The sequence below is a fragment of the Homo sapiens genome, chromosome 1 (assembly GCF_000001405.40).
Source record: "Homo sapiens chromosome 1, GRCh38.p14 Primary Assembly".
Classification (NCBI taxonomy): Eukaryota; Metazoa; Chordata; class Mammalia; order Primates; family Hominidae; genus Homo; species Homo sapiens.
In genome coordinates this window covers 210,360,025-210,376,538 of record NC_000001.11, presented here as the reverse complement: position 1 = coordinate 210,376,538, position 16,514 = coordinate 210,360,025, and the positions used below count along the sequence as shown (strand labels likewise).

The following is a 16,514-nucleotide window of genomic DNA, read 5'->3' as shown; positions in this document are numbered from 1 at the left end:
CAGAAATCTATTTGCGTATTAATAAAATAACTCATTTATGATGCCTAAGACTTACTTTAAAACACAAGCTACAACACAGAGACGTCTGCTTTCAGACAAGATATAGTACACACATTTATCCCTATCCCTCCACTAACGACAGCTAAAACCCTTGGATGTAACATATAAAACGAATGTAAGGGGATTGTGAATGGTGAAAAGAGCAGACTGGCTAGAGAGCTCAGGGCCTAAGGAACGACAATAAGCAAAACAAAATTAAGTATTAAGTAAATGTTGATATAAATATTAACATTTACATTAATGCATTATACTTAATATATAACTTACTAGATGGGCTTAATAGCAAAAGTAGATTACATAAGAAAGAATTATTGAGCCAGGCGTGGTGGCTCATGCCTGTAATCCCAGAACTTTGGGAGGCCGAGGCAGGTGGATCACTTGAGGCCAGGAGTTCCAGACCAGCCTGGCCGATATGGCAAAACCCCCTATCTAGTAAAAATACAAAAAAAAAAAAAAAAAAAAAATTAGCTGTGCATGGTGGCACATGCCTGTAATCCCAGCTTCTTGGGAGGGTTAGAAGAATCATTTGAACCCGGGAGGCAGAGATTGCAGTGAGCCAAGATTGTGCCACTGCACTCCAGCCTGGATGACAGAGTGAGATTTTTTTTTTTTTTTAATTATTGAACCTAAGGATAGGTCAATAAAAATCACCCAATCTGAACAAGAGAGAGAAAACTGACTGAAAAAATACAGCCTCAGAGACCCTTGATATAAGAACAAAAGATCTGACATTGGTGTCATTAAATTTTCCAGAAGGAAAGAAGAAAAAATATGAGGTTAAAAATACGTTCAAAGAAATAATGGCAAAAAAAAAAGATCTCCAAATTTGGCAAAAAGCATAAACCTACAAATTCAAGAAGCTGAATAAACCCCAATCAAATTAAATACAGCAATTAAAAGACAGAGCTTGGCAGAATGGATTGCTAGAAAAAAGACCCAACTCTGGACTGTCCACAGGAATTCACTTTAAATATAATGAAATGGGGAGGTGGAAAGTTAAAAGATGAAAAAGGATATGGCATACATACATGAATCAAAAGAAAGTGGGAGTGGCTCTACCAATGGCAGATAAAGTAGACTTCAGAGAAAGAAAATCACCAGGGTCAAAAAGGGTCATTGCAGAATGATAAAAATATCTTCTCACCAATAAGATATAAGAATCCTAAATGTGTGTGTGTATATACACATACACACATACATATATATTTAAAAGCATTGTGGTTTTTCAGGGATTAGAGATGAAGAGGAGGAGGGTGAGTATGGCCATCAAAGAGGCAGCACAGAGTAGCTCTTCAAGGTTCTGTATCTTTGTCATGTTGGTGTTTACATGAATCTACACATGTGATAAAACCACATATAACTATATACATATACACAAGTAAGTGCTTGCAAAACAGGTGAAATCTGATTAAAGTCTGTGGGTTGTACTAATGTCAAGTTCCTGGGTTTGAGTTCACTATGGAAGATTCCCCACTGGGGAGCTAACCATCAGGTTCTCCTGTTAGCAACAACAGACACCAGGAACTGCTGGGGGGTGGCAGGGAGGACTGGTAAGGCCTGAAAAACTAACTACTGGGTACTGTGCTCAGTACCTGGGTGACAAGATCATTCATACCCTCAACCTCAGCGTCACACAATATACCCAGGTAATAAACTTGCACATGTACCCCTGGAATCTAAAATTAAAAGTAAGGGATTAAAAAAAAAAAAAAAAAGATTCCCCACTGGGGAAGCTCGGTAGAGGTACACAAGGCCTCTCTGTACTACTGCTGCAACTTCCTGTAAATGTGTAATTGTTTCAAAATAAGATGATGCTAAAGATAACAAATCGTACTCCAAGTCCCATTATACAAAAAGGGCTAAAACGAGTTTCCATGGTTAACCCAGGATGGGATTTAGAACTCAGCTAGCATGGCCTCTACTTCGCCCCCTAGTGGTAGCACCAAAGGCACCCGGTGAATAACAAGGTGTGGAATCTCAAGGTGATGACTCAACATCTCATTTGCATACCCATAGTACCCTGCACATAGTAAATTATTTAAAGCTTAAAAGAATATTTCTTTTGACTCAACATTTCTAACTATGGGAAGATTAAAGAATTCTTTTTGTGCAAACTGTAGGCAGTAATTCTTTTTGTGCGAACTGTAGGCACCATCGGCGTACTAGGAGTTGCGGTTACTGCAACAATGAGTTGAACTAATTTGTAGCATTACACTGGTTTCTCTTCAGATCGAATAAATCTTTCGCCTTTTACTAAAGATTTCCGTGGAGAGAAACAAATCAGTTATAAGCTAATTTTTTGTAAGCCTTGCCCTGGGGAGGCAGATCATGTTTTATAAAAAAAGACTTAAAGAGGAAAACATTATGGTGCAACTTTAGGCTTAAGTGATTCATTGTCACTGTTTGTTTAAACATTGTGTAACAGAACTTGCAAAGACAGTTAACTCTTGTTTTCCATGTCAAAGGTCTGAATACTTGCATGATAAAAGTCTGTGTAACTTTCCCTGGTGACATCTGACTTGCTAATTAGCAACATTAACATTGGAGACACAGACTGGCTTAGACAATTTGGAGACTCCCCCTTAAGTGATGGCCTTTAAGATCCTAAACTCAGCCACATAGTTGGGAGAATTTCTGGTTGCCTGTCTGCAAAAAAGCCCCAAATCCATCCTTCTCTAGATAACATTCTATTATCTATCTACCTAGTAACAAATTCAATGCAAGGTGGTGATGCAAGCTCCTTAAAGGACTCCATCAATTCCACTGATCAGCTTGGTGTAAACTGGTTTCCACTGCTTGCCTAGTAAGTGTTTAATAAACGTACACATGCCAGATAGAATTTGACCTGAGCTTTGCTTTCATTAAACCTGGGAGCAAAATCATGATGGAATAACAAACCTTCATCCATCTCGAACTTTTCGGCAGCTATTGTCATCCCTGAAAGTAGCATCAGTCAGTTCCCCACACAAAGACACCCCACTTTACATCTTCTCCCACGTGCCCCTGTGATCTCGCTCTTACCTTGCTGCTGCTGCTTAATTTCTTTTTAACAAAGGCTTATCAACTGTCATGTCATGATTTTAAAAGGTAATAACCTTTTTAAGAATGCTGACAGGCACCACTTTTAGGAAATGTACTGAGAGAAGGAAATGTTTTCCCTCCTTCCCACTTCCCCATACCTCCCCCCAAATTTCAGATCCCGCCACTATTCAACCTGCCCTAGGCTGGAATAATCCCGTCCCCCTTTCTCTCTGAGTCTTGTTATGGCACTTATATAAGTCTGAATCATGTTACAGCACTTCCATGTTTGTGTGTAAATTAACTTTAATCCACCTCTAAGGACAGTTCTTAACATTGAAAGTATCCAAATGAGGAGTCCACAAAGAGTGAGTTAGCATTTGAAGGATTCTAATCAGAAATCTACTCCCAGACATGACTACAATTCAAATAATTCCAACATGGTACCTAAAGCTGCACCTGAAAGTTTACTAGCATAAGGAATGTTAGAAATAAATATTTTAGTAATGAAAAGCATGGTGCTCAATATGTGATGGATTAAAATTTTTCTCAGGCTCTGATACCCTTGTAATAATGAAGCATGTATGTAAGAATCCCTTGAGGCCAGGTACAGTGGCTCACGCCTGTAATCCCAACACTTTGGGAGGCTGAGCCAGAAGGATCACAAAAAAAAAAAAAAACACCTCCCTTGAGCCCAGCACCCAAAGCACTGAAAGTCTAACACTCTCTTGGTCTGTGTCCTTTGCTTTAATAAGGCTCTATCCTCTAATCAGACTAGAAGGGTAACTGCTTCAGCCAGCAGAATAGAATTGCACCAGCCTCAGAAGGAACTTCCGTGCAAGATGCTTGTTGGAGTACCTAAAGACAGACAATAGAGGCTTCACAAGCTTTCAGGAACAAGTTCAATGATGGTTTTGTACTTCCCTACCTAATGAATGTTTGTACTTGTAGGAGAATTCAGTTAGACACCTTCACTGTTTAACATACCACTTGGTGGCAAGGTTGTGGGAGAGAAGACATTTAACTCCTGTCCATCTCCAAGTGACAGAAGTTACCAAGAGTAAAACCAAAGAACTTTATTTTTGTTAAACAACAAAATAGGCTTGGGTCAGTTCAAAACATAGTACTTCTATTCAAGACTCAGCTCCAATCCACCTATTCCAGAGAGTCTTCTCTGATCATTCCAAGGCTAGAAACTCTCCCAGCAATTTTTGGCTACACCGACTAGGGACAATCATACATATGGAAAACACTTTGTTAAATGGCATGCCAGGGCCAGCTTTCAGGCAGGACCCACGAGCAGGGCCAATTGTCCTGGCTGTGTACAGCTCTGGCCCTTGTTAAATACTTCACACATCAGCCATATTAAAGCTAGGGGTGTCCTCCTGGAATTCTCAAATAGAGTATAAACTTGTTGAGTAGAGAAATAATGCCTCTTAATTCCTTAACCCACAGCATTATCACAACCCAGATCAGAAAGCAGGCAGTAAGCACTGACTTGTAAGCTGACTGGTTTGTGACTGAGAAATTTCTCACCATTCTCAACAGTGGGAATGTCTTCATCTTTGCATCGAACTCCCTCAAACATTAGTAGACTCTTGATAATGTTTGCTGAATTGAGGTGAATATGCCCACTGGGGTTGGGGACTTCTTATAAAGGAACATTGATCTCTTGGCAACGTTTGCTTTGTTTCATGTGTGTAAACTCTGGTGAGTTTACAGAGGTTAGGCCTTAACTCATTTTCATTAAGCCGCAGCCCCTCAAAGATTATTCCAGCATGTCTGTCATCTCTCTGCTTCCCTCCATCTGATGGGAGCAGATTAATAAGTGATTTGGCTGTGTGCGTGAATGTTCAGCCTGTCTTACCAGAAAACTGGATTTTATACAGTTTTTCCCCTTCCCAGAGAGGCTTGCTTAGCAGAGACAGATTCCTGTGTTCCATGCCAGCCCCTCCAAAGAATGTGGGTTGAAGAGTCTCCAAAATGTCAGGGGCAAGAAACCCATGGATTAGGCCAGGCAGGGTGGCTCACACCTGTAATCCCAGCACTTTGGGAGGCCAAGGCAGGTGGATCACTTGAGGACAGGAGTTTGAGGCCAGCCTAGCCAGCATGTTGAAAACCTGTCTCTACTAAAAATACAAAAAGTTAGCCAAGTATGATGGCACATGCCTGTAGGCCCTGCTTGGGAGGCTGAGGCACGAGAATCGCTTGAACTTGGGAGGCAGAGGTTACAGTGAACCATGGTTGTGCCACTGCACTCTAACACAGGCAATAGAGTGAGACTCTGTCTCAAAAAAATAAATAAGAAAAAAAAGAAACCCATGATTGGTGATGGAAGGTCAGGTTTGCTTCCTTCTTGTGAACACAAAGAATGCCGGCTCTTTACCCATCAGTACATGACCTTTTGTCTAGTCTCATCCATGCTAGATTTTCTTCCTGACATGTAAATTTGCGGACAGGTAGGAAAAATGTAAGATGTTAGTGATTTCCTGGTGAGAACAGGAATAGGAATTGTAGCTCTCTGCCTAACGTAAAAATAGGATCTGCAGCCAGGTGTGGTGGTTCATGCCTGTAATCCCAGCACTTTGGGAGGCCAAGGCTGGTGGATCACGAGGTCAGGAGATCAAGACCATCCTAACTAATGCGGTGAAACCCCGTCTCTACTACAAATACAAAAACTTAGCTGGGCATGGTGGCACATGCCTGTAGTCCCAGCTACTCGGGAGGCTGAGGCAAGAGAATCGCTTGAACCCGGGAGGCGGAGGTTGCAGTGAGCCAAGATCATGTCACTGCACTCCAGCCTGGGTGACAGAGTGAGACTCCGTCTCCAAAAAAAAAAAAAAAAAAAAATAGCATCTGCAATGTGAATGGATAAACATCAAATTTGCTTATTAATTTTTAGCCACCAGGTACCCTGCTCTGTTCTCTCTCTCTTCTATCTAGTAGTTCATGGGAAATATTATTTGTTTCATTAAAAAGGTCCTTAAAGGCCAGATGCAGTGGCTCACACCTGTAATCCCAGCAATTTGAGAGGCCAAGATGGGTGGATCATGAGGTCAGGAGTTCAAGACCAGCCTGGCCAACATAGTGAAACTCCATCTCTACTAAAAATACAAAAATTAGCCAGGCATGGTGATGGGCACCTGTAATCCCAGGTACTTGGGAGGCTGAGGCAGGAGAATCGCTTGAACCCAGGAGGCAGAGGTTGCAGTGAGCCAAGATCATGCACTGCACTCCAGCCTGGGTGACACAGTGAGACTCTGCATTCAGGAAAAAAAAAAAAAAAAAAAAAAAAAAGTCATTGAAGAAGCTAGGAGAAAATAAGGTGAAGGTAGAATCAAGGGTTTAGCTCTGCAAAACTAACAGATCAAGAGTGTGTGTGTGTATATGTGTATGCAGAGAGAGAAGAGAAAGAAGAGAGAGACAGGGCAAGGCAGGAAAATCAGTCAGAGGGCTCCAGAAAGAGTCCACAGAACAAATGGCACCTGAAACCCTTCAATGACTGACCACTGCCTTCTGGATAAAGTCCAGACTCCGCATATGGCACTTCATGGCCTTTACGATCTATCCCCTCCCTGTCTTGAGTCATTTGCCCTCCTCACAACTCAACCTTCTAGCCAAGCCAAATTTATTTCACTCAAATCCAGGTCGTCAGGCATGCTATACCCTTCACCTACCTTTCCCGTCTCCCAGCCATCACCTCCCTTCAGTCCCTGCCGCTGGGGTTCTCTGCACCCTCTGTCTCTACAAGCCCCAGTGGCTGTTGCACCACCAGCTCACTGTCACATCATCACCTTCCCCCAAACTTCAGAGCCCACTTAGGACAGAGACTGAGCCTGGAATGTCACAGCATCCCTGGCACGTGGCCTGGAAGCTGCTTACACAGCAGGTGTGCATTTAACTCATGTGTTAAATGAGTCAAAATGGAATGTTGTTTTCCTGAAGTATTAAAATGCAGAGGCATTTATAAATAAGCCAAATCTTAAAAATCTTCATGGGCAAAGCATGAGTAGCTAAGAACTGTGTCTTTATAGAAGTACCTCTTTATCTATGTTCATAGTCATTCGTATTCAAGCTCCCGTCTGCCTCTGTCTCTTCTTCCTAAGCCTCCTCACAGGCAATGGAAAGTCCTCTCTGATTTTACTTCTGAAAGAACAGCTTATTTAGAGGTCTGCCCCAATTTCAGAAACCTGTCATGGGAAAATGTGTCCTCAGGAAAGAACAGAATTGATTACTTGTAACACTCTTCATAATGCATTAGGATTTTGAGAGCTCCTTTCAACAGCAGTCCCCCTCTACATGTAAATGTCTCTCTGTAGAACGTTACCTCCTTGCTACAGAGGGAGAATCAGCAATTCTTTTTTTTTTTCTTTCTTTTTTTTGAGACAGAGTTTCACTCTTGTTGCCCAGGCTGGAGTGCAATGGCGCAGGCTTGGCTCACTGCAACCTCCGCCTCCCGGGTTCAAGCGATTCTCCTGCCTCAGCCTCCCAAGTAGTTGGGATTATAGGCACCCGCCACCACATCCAGCTAATTTTTGTATTTTTAGTAGAGACGGAGTTTCACCATGTTGGCCAGACTGGTCGTGGACTCCTGACCTCAGGTGATCCGCCCACCTCGGCCTCCCAAAGTGCTGGGATTACAGGCGTGAGCCACTGTGCCCGACCAAGAATCAGTAATTCTTAATGCTAAAGGAAGGAATTATTCATCCATGGAAGAAAAAAGTAACAATAACCACAGTAACAGGTATTGTGTATCTATTCTGTACTAAGTACAAGCATGCTGGGTGTTTTCTGTCCATCACCTCTTTCTCCATAACCTTGTATTCCCATGTTGCAGGTAATAAAACTGAGGCTAAAAGGAGGTAAATGAGGCCAGGCACAGTGGCTCATGCCTGTAATCCCAGCACTTTGGAAGGCTGAGATAGGTGGATCACTTGAGGCCAGGAGTTCAAGACCAGCCTGGCCGACATGGCGAAACGCATCTCTACTAAAAATACAAAATCTAGCTGAGTGTGGTGGCACACGCCTGCAACCCCAGCTACTCAGGAGGCTGAGGCAAGAGAATCACTTGAACCTGGGAGGCAGAGGTTATGGTGAGCCAAGATCATGCCACTGTACTTCAGCCTGTCTCAAAAAAATACATACATTTTTTTAAAAAGGAGGCAAATTATTTTCTCAGATGTAGCAAAGCCAAATTTGAACTTAAGCCCATCCAACTCCAAACCTGTGCTCTTTCCATTATGCCAAGAATCTATGATCTTGAATCCTAAATAAAAGGAAAAAAATGAATGACAATATACCTGACATAGAACTTCATTTGTATCAGTTTGGTTCAGATGCTACTGTCTAGAAACATGTTTACTTCATCGAGCACGCAATGTGGGCACTGAAATATTTCCCCTATCTCCCTGGCATCACTAGAGAGAAGACCAGCAAGAAGAAAGAAAAAGGGACTGGCAAATACAACGACAGATCACCCCAGAACCCAGCAAGGCTGGGTTCACCCCATTCTAGCACAGCACACTGGAGCCTGCAGGGGGTGGGGGGTGGGGGAGGGGCTTTTACCCTGACAGCCTGGAAGAGCAAACATTACAAAAAAAGGATGCAAAAACCAAAGCATATGGAGTCTGAACAGCCCTTGACAGCCGCACCTACGCAAGCACCCACACCACTTCTGTTGTCTTGGCAAGTGCAATCAGCATTACCCTCAAAGAAATGACAAAGATCAAAAGCATTCTTGATTGGGGCTGTAATCCTCCAAACCTGAACATCATCAAAAACTGGAGGACTACAGTCAGGTCCAGCTCCCTTTCACTGCCCTAAGTGAAGCTTCACTTTGACTCACCATTTCCCTAATACATTCTTCCCTTTTCTAACCATAGCAACACCACTGGAACAGCATCTCCTCTACTGATGATCTTGCCAAATCCTACTCATTCTCTGGAGCTCAGGTGAAGGTCAGCCCCCTTCTCCCAGAAGCAGTTTGTGATTTTTTGTGCCCAGAATGGTGTCTCCCTACTCTGACTCTACACACTGTCCCACTTAGCCCACTTACCTACATGGCTATCTAGAGGCACGTAGGACCAATGTATTTCTCACCTCCATGCTGCAACCTGGCCCTTCACTCTTTCCTGCAGTTAAATTCAATAAAATACTCACTGACTCTGCTCCAGGCATTGAAGATACAGAAATGATTAAATCCCAGCCCTGCTTTTGTGGGACCCACAATCTAAGTCAGAAAGGACAACATCAAATAAAATTCTACAAATAAATTTGTCATAATAGGGTACACGATTTCACCCAAAAGAGTGCTATCCTATCACCCTGTTTACTGCCTTCATGTCATTTAGCTCAATCTGTGGCCATTGTTCATTTGTTTGCGGTCAGCCTGTCCCTAGTAGGAGAAACTAGCATAGGAATGTTGTCTGTCTGGCTCACCACTGTCCCCAGCGCTCCATATGGACTTGAGCACAGAGACACTCTCATTGAAAGCTGTATTTGTGGAAGGAAGTAAAGAGAGAGGCAGGGAAGTGTCAGGAACTATGAGCACCAAGCTCAGCTTGAGCTTCAGGCAATGCTTCGTGACAGGGAGCCAGCTATGATCTGAAGTCTGAGTAAGGGCCGGACAGGGAAGGCGTGAGCCCCAATCCAGAAGAGGAACAGGATGAGTAAAGGTAAGAATGGCAAATCGGCATGACCAAGGGAGTGGTCATTTAAGAGCCCTTAAATATTGCTATAGACCAGCTGCTCTTAAAAGGGGATGATTTTTGCCTCCTGGGGGCATTTGGCAATGCATGGAGACTTTTTAAATTGTTTCTTGTTTTTGATTTTATTTTTAGAGACAAGGTCTCACTCTGACACCCAGGCTGGAGTGCAGAGTGCAGTGGCACGATCTCTGCTCACTACAACCTCCACCTCCCGGGTTCAAGCAATTCTTGTGTCTCAGTCCCTGGAGTAGCTGGGATTACAGGCACACACCTGGCTGTAATTTTTGTATTTTTAGTAGACATGGAGTTTCATCATGTTGGCCAGGCTACTCCTGACCTCAATGATCGCTGGTCTTAGCCTTCCCAAGTGCTGGGATTACAGGAGTGAGCCACCACACCCAGCCCACTTTTTAAAATTGTTAAGGCTTAGGGCAGGAAATGCTGCTAGCATCTACTAGGTAGAGTCCAGGGACTCTGATAAGCATTGTACAACGTCCAGAGCAGCTCACCACAACAGCCATCTAATCTAGAATGTCAGTAGTGGCCAGGCAGCATAGCTCACACCTGTAACCCCAGTGCTTTGGAAGGCTGAGGCTAGGAGTTCAAGACCAGCCTGGGTAATATAGTGAGACCCCATCTCTACAAAATATTAAAAATCAGCCAGGTATGGTGGTGCATGTCTGTAGTCCCAGCTACTCAAGAGGCTGAGGCAGAAGGATCGTTTGAGCCTAGGAGTTCAAGTCTCCAGTGAGCTATGATTACAACCACTGTACTCCAGCCTGGGTGACAGAGCAGGATCACATCTCTTCAAAAAAAAAAATTTTTTTTAATAAAATGTGGCCAGGCATGGTGGCTCATGATTCTAATGCCAGCACTTTGAGAGGCTGAGGCAGGTGGATCACTTGAGGTCAGGAGTTTGAGACCAGCCTAGCCAACGTGGTGAAACCCCATCTCTATTAAAAATACAAAAATTGGCCAGGCGTGGTGGTGTGTGCCTATAATCCCAGCTACTCAAGAGACTGAGGCAAGAGAATTGTTTGAACCTGAGAGATGGAGGTTGCAGTGAGCCAAGATTGTGCCACTGCACTCCAGCCTGGGTTACAGAGCGAGACCCTATCTCAACAAAATAAAATGTCAGCCAGGCATGGTGGCCCACACCTGTAATCCCAGTATTTTGGGAGGCCAATGCAGGTGGATCACCTGAGGTTGGGAGTTTGAGACCAGCATGGCTAATATGGCGAAACCCCATCTCTACTAAAAATAAAAAAAATTAGCTGGATGTGGTTGCAGGTGCCTGTAATCCTAGCTACTCAGGAAGCTGATGTGGGAGAATCACTGGAACCCAGGAGGCAGAGGTTGCAGTGAGCCAAGATCACACCACTGCACTCCAGCCTGGGCAACAGAGGGAGACTCCGTCTCAAAAAAAAAAAAAAAAAAAAAAAAACTGTCAGCAGTACTGAGGTTTACCAACCCAGCTGCAGACTAACATTCAAGGGATGGGCTGGTCAGAAAACTAAGCTTTCTTCTAAAGGTCATGATTTCTAGTCACATCTAATATCTTCTTTTGATTAGAATTTGGACCAAAATAGCATGTGCTTGCCACTTCCTACAGCCTCTGAGAAAAGAAATATTCAGCAAGGAGTATCTTGATCCTAAGGACCCATATCAATGTCCTTCCTCTGCCGGATATTCACCAGGACCCATTTCCTCCGTAAATTCTAGGGCTCCAAACCACCCACCCCACATGCAAGGTGATGAGAAGTAGAGAGATGAGAAGATGAGAGGTGCTCAGAGCACTGGTAGATGAATGGATAGTCAGACAGAGGGATGGACAGATTTGTCAGGATGGCAAAAGACGGAATCCTTGGAGCTCCCAGAGTGTGTGTGTCTGTGCCACGTGGACTTTTCTGTGAAGGCAGAATTGGCCTGAGCAACAACACTCCCGACCCCAGACCTGTTATGAGAGCTGTTGTGGAGAGCACTGAGAAGGGGTCATCTCTGCAGGACTCTGGAGCCTCTGCAGGGAGTCAAGCAGCTGGGCTTGACCCAGTGAAGTGACAAGAGCTGGGAAGTCAGTGAAGACAAGGCCGCTTTGTCTGGAAGTAGCAACGCATGGCTGGGCTGAGCCTGCCCTTGATCATGAAATCTGTGGCAGCTCCAAAACTTGTTGGGGCCTGACCCTGTGTTCACTTTCTCACGCTGCCTCACCATTGTTCCTCTGCAGCTAAAAGTCTTTCAAATGTGTCTGCTTATTTTTGCCTTGGCAAATAATTCTATATTTCCAATATTATCTAAAATGCTTGAATTTTAACTCTAAAAGGAAAAAAAAATCATCTTTTTTTCTGCTGTAAGACATCCGCTAGTGTTACATTCGTAAAGAGTAGATCTGAGACACTCAGAAAGGCTACCTCCTATTTCATCTCAAATTCCACTTTGTGACAAAGCTTCCCAGATTTCCTCATCTCTGAAGTGGGCACAATACTACCCACATTACATTCTTATTAACAATCCTAAAAAGGGCTTATTTAAATAAGAAACATCTAGAAATGGATGCCATGGATGAAAATTCAATTTACATCTAAGTTTTCATGGAAGCATCTGGTGGGTAGAGCGACAAAAGCCAAGAATGGCACCCCATGCAGGGCAGGATGCTCTTCTCAGTTACAGAAAAACATGGGCCTTGTATCTTACATATGGCTCTGTACAGAGCTGGGAGAAAGGAACAGGCTACCCTAGCAAATCAAAATGGAAATTGAGCTACATTTGTTACAATTCAAGCAAGATCTGCAACTTTCAATAGAAAAATATTAGTACAGGCAGTACCCAACTTGGAAATGAACTGTCTTGCAAAAGTTCATTTGCAAGCAGAGTGTTCAGAACCTGGAATGCAAGGTGTCTTTTATGTCCCAAGCCAGCCCACAAAAGGCTGATTGAATCTGTAATCTATTTGGTATATTACATAAAGTAAAAATAGAAAACAAAACAAAACAAACTGCTCTGATAACATTTTAAAAACATATAAAAATACTTAGAAAACAAATATACAGCCAATAATTAGCCTTGACCCGAAGCCCCCACCATGACCTGGGCCCTGGACCCCCTACAGTCCAAGTCATAGCTGAAATGGGGTCCTGAGAAACTGAATGGAGAAGAATGAGAAGAACCCCAGCCTAAAAGGGACAGGGGTTCTGGTGGGAGAAAAAAGTAGTCAGGCATCTCTCAACTGGAAGAGAAGGGTCTGGTACCTACCCAGAATATATACTCTAGCACAGAAGTGCTACTGGTCACATCTAGAAAGACATGGGTATGTGAAAGAACAGTGGCCACTCTGCCTGCTACCAAAGTAGACAAAATGAGCTGCTGCTGAAGACAAGCGAGCCAGCCACCTGGCACCGCCCTACCAGAGGGACGAGGGATGTGAATTCCCAGCATGCTCTGCAGCAGCATGGACAGCCAGGGACACTCAGAGGCCAGAAGGAAGATGTTCCTGCAGCTGCCGGCAGTTGGTATAGGAGCGTCCAGGGGCCGCATGTGATTCTGATGGATCTGGCTAGGTCAAGTAGGAAGTTTCTGAGCTTTACAAAAGTGAAAACTGTCCTAACTGATAAGGTTAGTCACATTTCTGGTATCTTCAGAAGAGTACAGGGGACAAGAACATAGAGACCCTGGGAACGCCTTCCCCAACACAGCACACTCACACCTTTACGGCAAAAAGGGTGCTTCATTCCAGATTGCTGCTGAATCTGATACCTGGATCGACTCCAAATACAAATGTGATGTGAAATATTGAAATCAGGTTTGAAAACTGAGATTTATTATGCATCCACTTTGTACCTTCTTTAATCCTCCAAATAAAGTGTCAGTCTCCAGCTCAAATTCCTGGTCCAGCTCCTCTTCGTGTTCTGACCAAAAAAAAAAAGTCTTCGTTAGTCACAAATCTAAACAAAACTGGGCTGGCTGAAGAGCTGAAGCACTGAAAGAATTGGACTATGTCCTGGAAAAGCAGCCAGTGGACTAAGGTGCAGGCACGGAAACATACCACACTCCTTGACCTTGCTTTCCAGTGTTCTGTGACCTAAGTTCCTGGAAATATGTAGAGCCACTGATGGAAACTTGGCTTGTAATAAGGGTCACAAAAGGAGACAGCAAAGGAGAAGAGTTTCCAACACAGGAAAACATGGGAAGGGTTACTGCAAATGGCCCATGTGCACACGCTGTTAGAAATTTTGGGCCGGGCATGGTGGCTCACGCCTGTAATCCCAAAACTTTGGGAGGCCAAGACGGGCGGATTACAAGTTCAGGAGTTTGAGACCAGCCTGACCAATGTGGTGAAACCCCATCTCTACTAAAAATACAAAAATTAGCCAGGTGTGGTGGCATGGTCAGGAGAATGAGGCAGGAGAATTGCTTCAACTGGGAGGCAGAGGTTGCATTGAGCCAAGATTATGCCATTGCACTCCAGCTTGGGCAACAAGAGCAAGACTCCATCTCAAAAAAGAAAAGAAAAAAAAAAAAAAGAAATTTTGACACAGACTATGCCACAAAACTATGGTGATTGGATCCGCTATGATATAATGCTAACAAAATATAATAAAATAGTCATATAATGGTAATGAGCATGTTTGTAAGTAAACAATACAGTTGATTTGAAACAAAAGATAAAATAAAATCTGCCAACACTTCTTGAGGAGGTACAGTAACCAGACACAGTACAAGATACTAGCAATGAAATGGAACCAGACTGGCGTGGCTTTTGTCTTCCTGGGGCTTACTGTATGCTGGGGAAGATAGACAAACACAGAATAAGAAACTATGATAGTGCTGATCAGTGCCATGATGCAGGAAGGAATGCTGTGGGAGCCGATGCTGAGGTCTGTGCGATGTCCTGTAGGCAACTGCATGGATGCGGGTGGAGCTCAAAGGAATGCTCTAAGCTGGAGATAAAGACTTACAAGTTCTCAGTATAAGGGTGGGACAAAACCACCAGAATGGCTGAGATTCCCCCCCAAAAAAGGACAAAGAGTACATAGACAAGAATGGGGAAATATTAATGCATATCAGATCAACAAAAGTATAAAAACCTCAAGAAACCAAAAAGGAGCTATCCAGAAGGAAACCCAGGAGAGAGTGCTGTCACTAAAATATAATCATGAAATAATGCTGGTTTCAGAGTAGGATCAAGGGGCAGATTCACACACACCAGATGCAAACAGCAAGCCAAGCGTCAGACCACAGGCAACATTTAGTAACAACAGAAAAGAGAGGGGCTTGCAAACCGGCCCAGGGTACACACCGCACACCTCCAGGAGCCCCAGCCACAGTGCAATCCAAGTGATCTGGGTGTGCCATGGAGGTGTGTGATTGCAGTAGGGCACTGGTCCTCTCTGTGACAGCTGCACGCAAGACCATTGTGTGTGCGTGCACGCACCTATTTGCGTGTTGCACTGCACACAGACACACAGACTCAAGTCCAAAGGAACAATTGGCAAACAAATGACAAGTTACTGTGATCCAACAAAGAAGTAACAGAAACCTCTGAATTCATTAAGGCAAAGAGGGTAGAAAAACTTTCTGCCTCTTCCCGCTTCTGTTTTGGCTTCACTTTCACAGAAACTGCAACCTTTAGAAACATCAGAGTTACACGGGATTAAAACAAAGCAAAAACTTAAGCTCTTTTTTTTGGTGCTTCTTTAAGAGTTCATTCAAAAGCAGTGGCATTTACACGCTAGCCTCAGATTTCCTGAGGCTGGAACATATCTCCCTCTAGTGGGAGAAAGGAACCCCATAGCAGACAAGAGAATTATAATGAAATCTTGCCTAGTGCTGTCCAACAGAAATAGAACACGAACCACACTTAAAATTTTAAAGTTTCTAATAGCCACAAAGTTAAAAAAAAAAAAAAAAAAAGTGAAGTTAATTATTTATTCCAATATATCCAAAATTGTATTTCAATATAAAATCAATATTAAACAGTTATATGAGTTATTTTACATTCCCTTTTTCTAATTCTTTATAATCCTATTTACATGTCATCTTTATAGCACACCTCAATTTGGCCTGGCCACATTTCAAATGCTCCCTATCCAGATGTGGCCCACGAGTACAATATTGGACAGCATAGCTCTAGACCAAAAATCTGTCCTCGGCCAGGCGCGGTAGCTCACGCCTGTAATCCCAGCACTTTGGGAGGCCAAGGTGGGCAGATCACCTGAGGTCAGGAGTTCAAGACCAGCCTGGCCAACATGGAAAAACTCCATCTCTACTAAAAATACAAAATTAGCTGGGCGTGATGGCAGGCGCCTGTAATCCCAGCTACTCGGGAGGCTGAGGCAAGAGAATTGCTTGAACCCAGGAGGCAGAAGTTGTGGTGAGCCTAGATCATACCATTGCACTCCAGCCTGGGCAAAAAGAGCGAAACTTCATATCAAAACAAAACAAAAAAAAAAAAACACAAAAACAACCTTTCCTCATGTTTTGGAGAATTCATATAAATCACCTTTGTCTCATTTCTTGACACAAATGCTCCCTGACATAAATTTTAAATTGTAACTTAAATCCATTCATGACCTGTTTGGAACTCACTGTTTTCAAATTGTCTTAAGTTAGCTGAAAATCCCAGCTGCAGAATGTAGTTGATACAGGAGAACCTGTGGCAGGACATCTTTCCACAAGCTGCAGTAACCCTCAGAATTTCTGATTATATCTTCTGGTAACCGCCCTTTGGGTTCA

At 43.4% G+C, this 16,514-nt stretch overlaps 1 protein-coding gene, 1 long non-coding RNA gene and 1 pseudogene across 19 annotated transcripts in view, besides 3 other annotated features; 2 read left to right on the top strand and 1 right to left on the bottom strand.

The window, feature by feature from the left end:
- HHAT (hedgehog acyltransferase) overlaps positions 1-16,514 on the bottom strand; it is a 348,963-nt gene that overhangs the window by 299,752 nt on the left and 32,697 nt on the right. For 14 of the 18 annotated variants that reach the window (XM_047424804.1, NM_001122834.4, NM_001170564.3 and 11 more), the window contains one exon: positions 13,620-13,687. The exons of the other annotated variants lie outside the window; for them this stretch is intronic. In XM_047424804.1, the coding sequence (XP_047280760.1) occupies positions 13,620-13,687 (68 nt within the window). The remainder of the gene's footprint in view (positions 1-13,619; positions 13,688-16,514) is intronic. 18 annotated transcript variants of the gene reach the window in all.
- Positions 1,667-2,578: an enhancer, noted in NCBI's record as "OCT4-NANOG-H3K27ac hESC enhancer chr1:210547305-210548216 (GRCh37/hg19 assembly coordinates)". NCBI's record gives its function as "activates a minimal SCP1, AML or CMV promoter by ChIP-STARR-seq in naive and primed H9 embryonic stem cells {active_cell/tissue: H9 hESC(naive and primed)}" and the evidence as "EXISTENCE:reporter gene assay evidence [ECO:0000049][PMID:30033119]".
- Positions 1,902-1,991: a silencer, noted in NCBI's record as "silent region_1780". NCBI's record gives its function as "represses an Ori minimal core promoter by ATAC-STARR-seq in GM12878 lymphoblastoid cells {active_cell/tissue: GM12878}" and the evidence as "EXISTENCE:reporter gene assay evidence [ECO:0000049][PMID:35858748]".
- RNU5A-8P (RNA, U5A small nuclear 8, pseudogene) lies at positions 2,272-2,385 on the top strand (annotated as a pseudogene).
- Positions 2,579-3,491: an enhancer, noted in NCBI's record as "OCT4-NANOG-H3K27ac hESC enhancer chr1:210546392-210547304 (GRCh37/hg19 assembly coordinates)". NCBI's record gives its function as "activates a minimal SCP1, AML or CMV promoter by ChIP-STARR-seq in primed H9 embryonic stem cells {active_cell/tissue: H9 hESC(primed)}" and the evidence as "EXISTENCE:reporter gene assay evidence [ECO:0000049][PMID:30033119]".
- Positions 9,593-13,661, top strand: LOC124904503 (uncharacterized). Its single transcript, XR_007066866.1, has 2 exons — positions 9,593-9,752; positions 11,358-13,661. It is a non-coding gene; the product is annotated as an uncharacterized LOC124904503 (long non-coding RNA).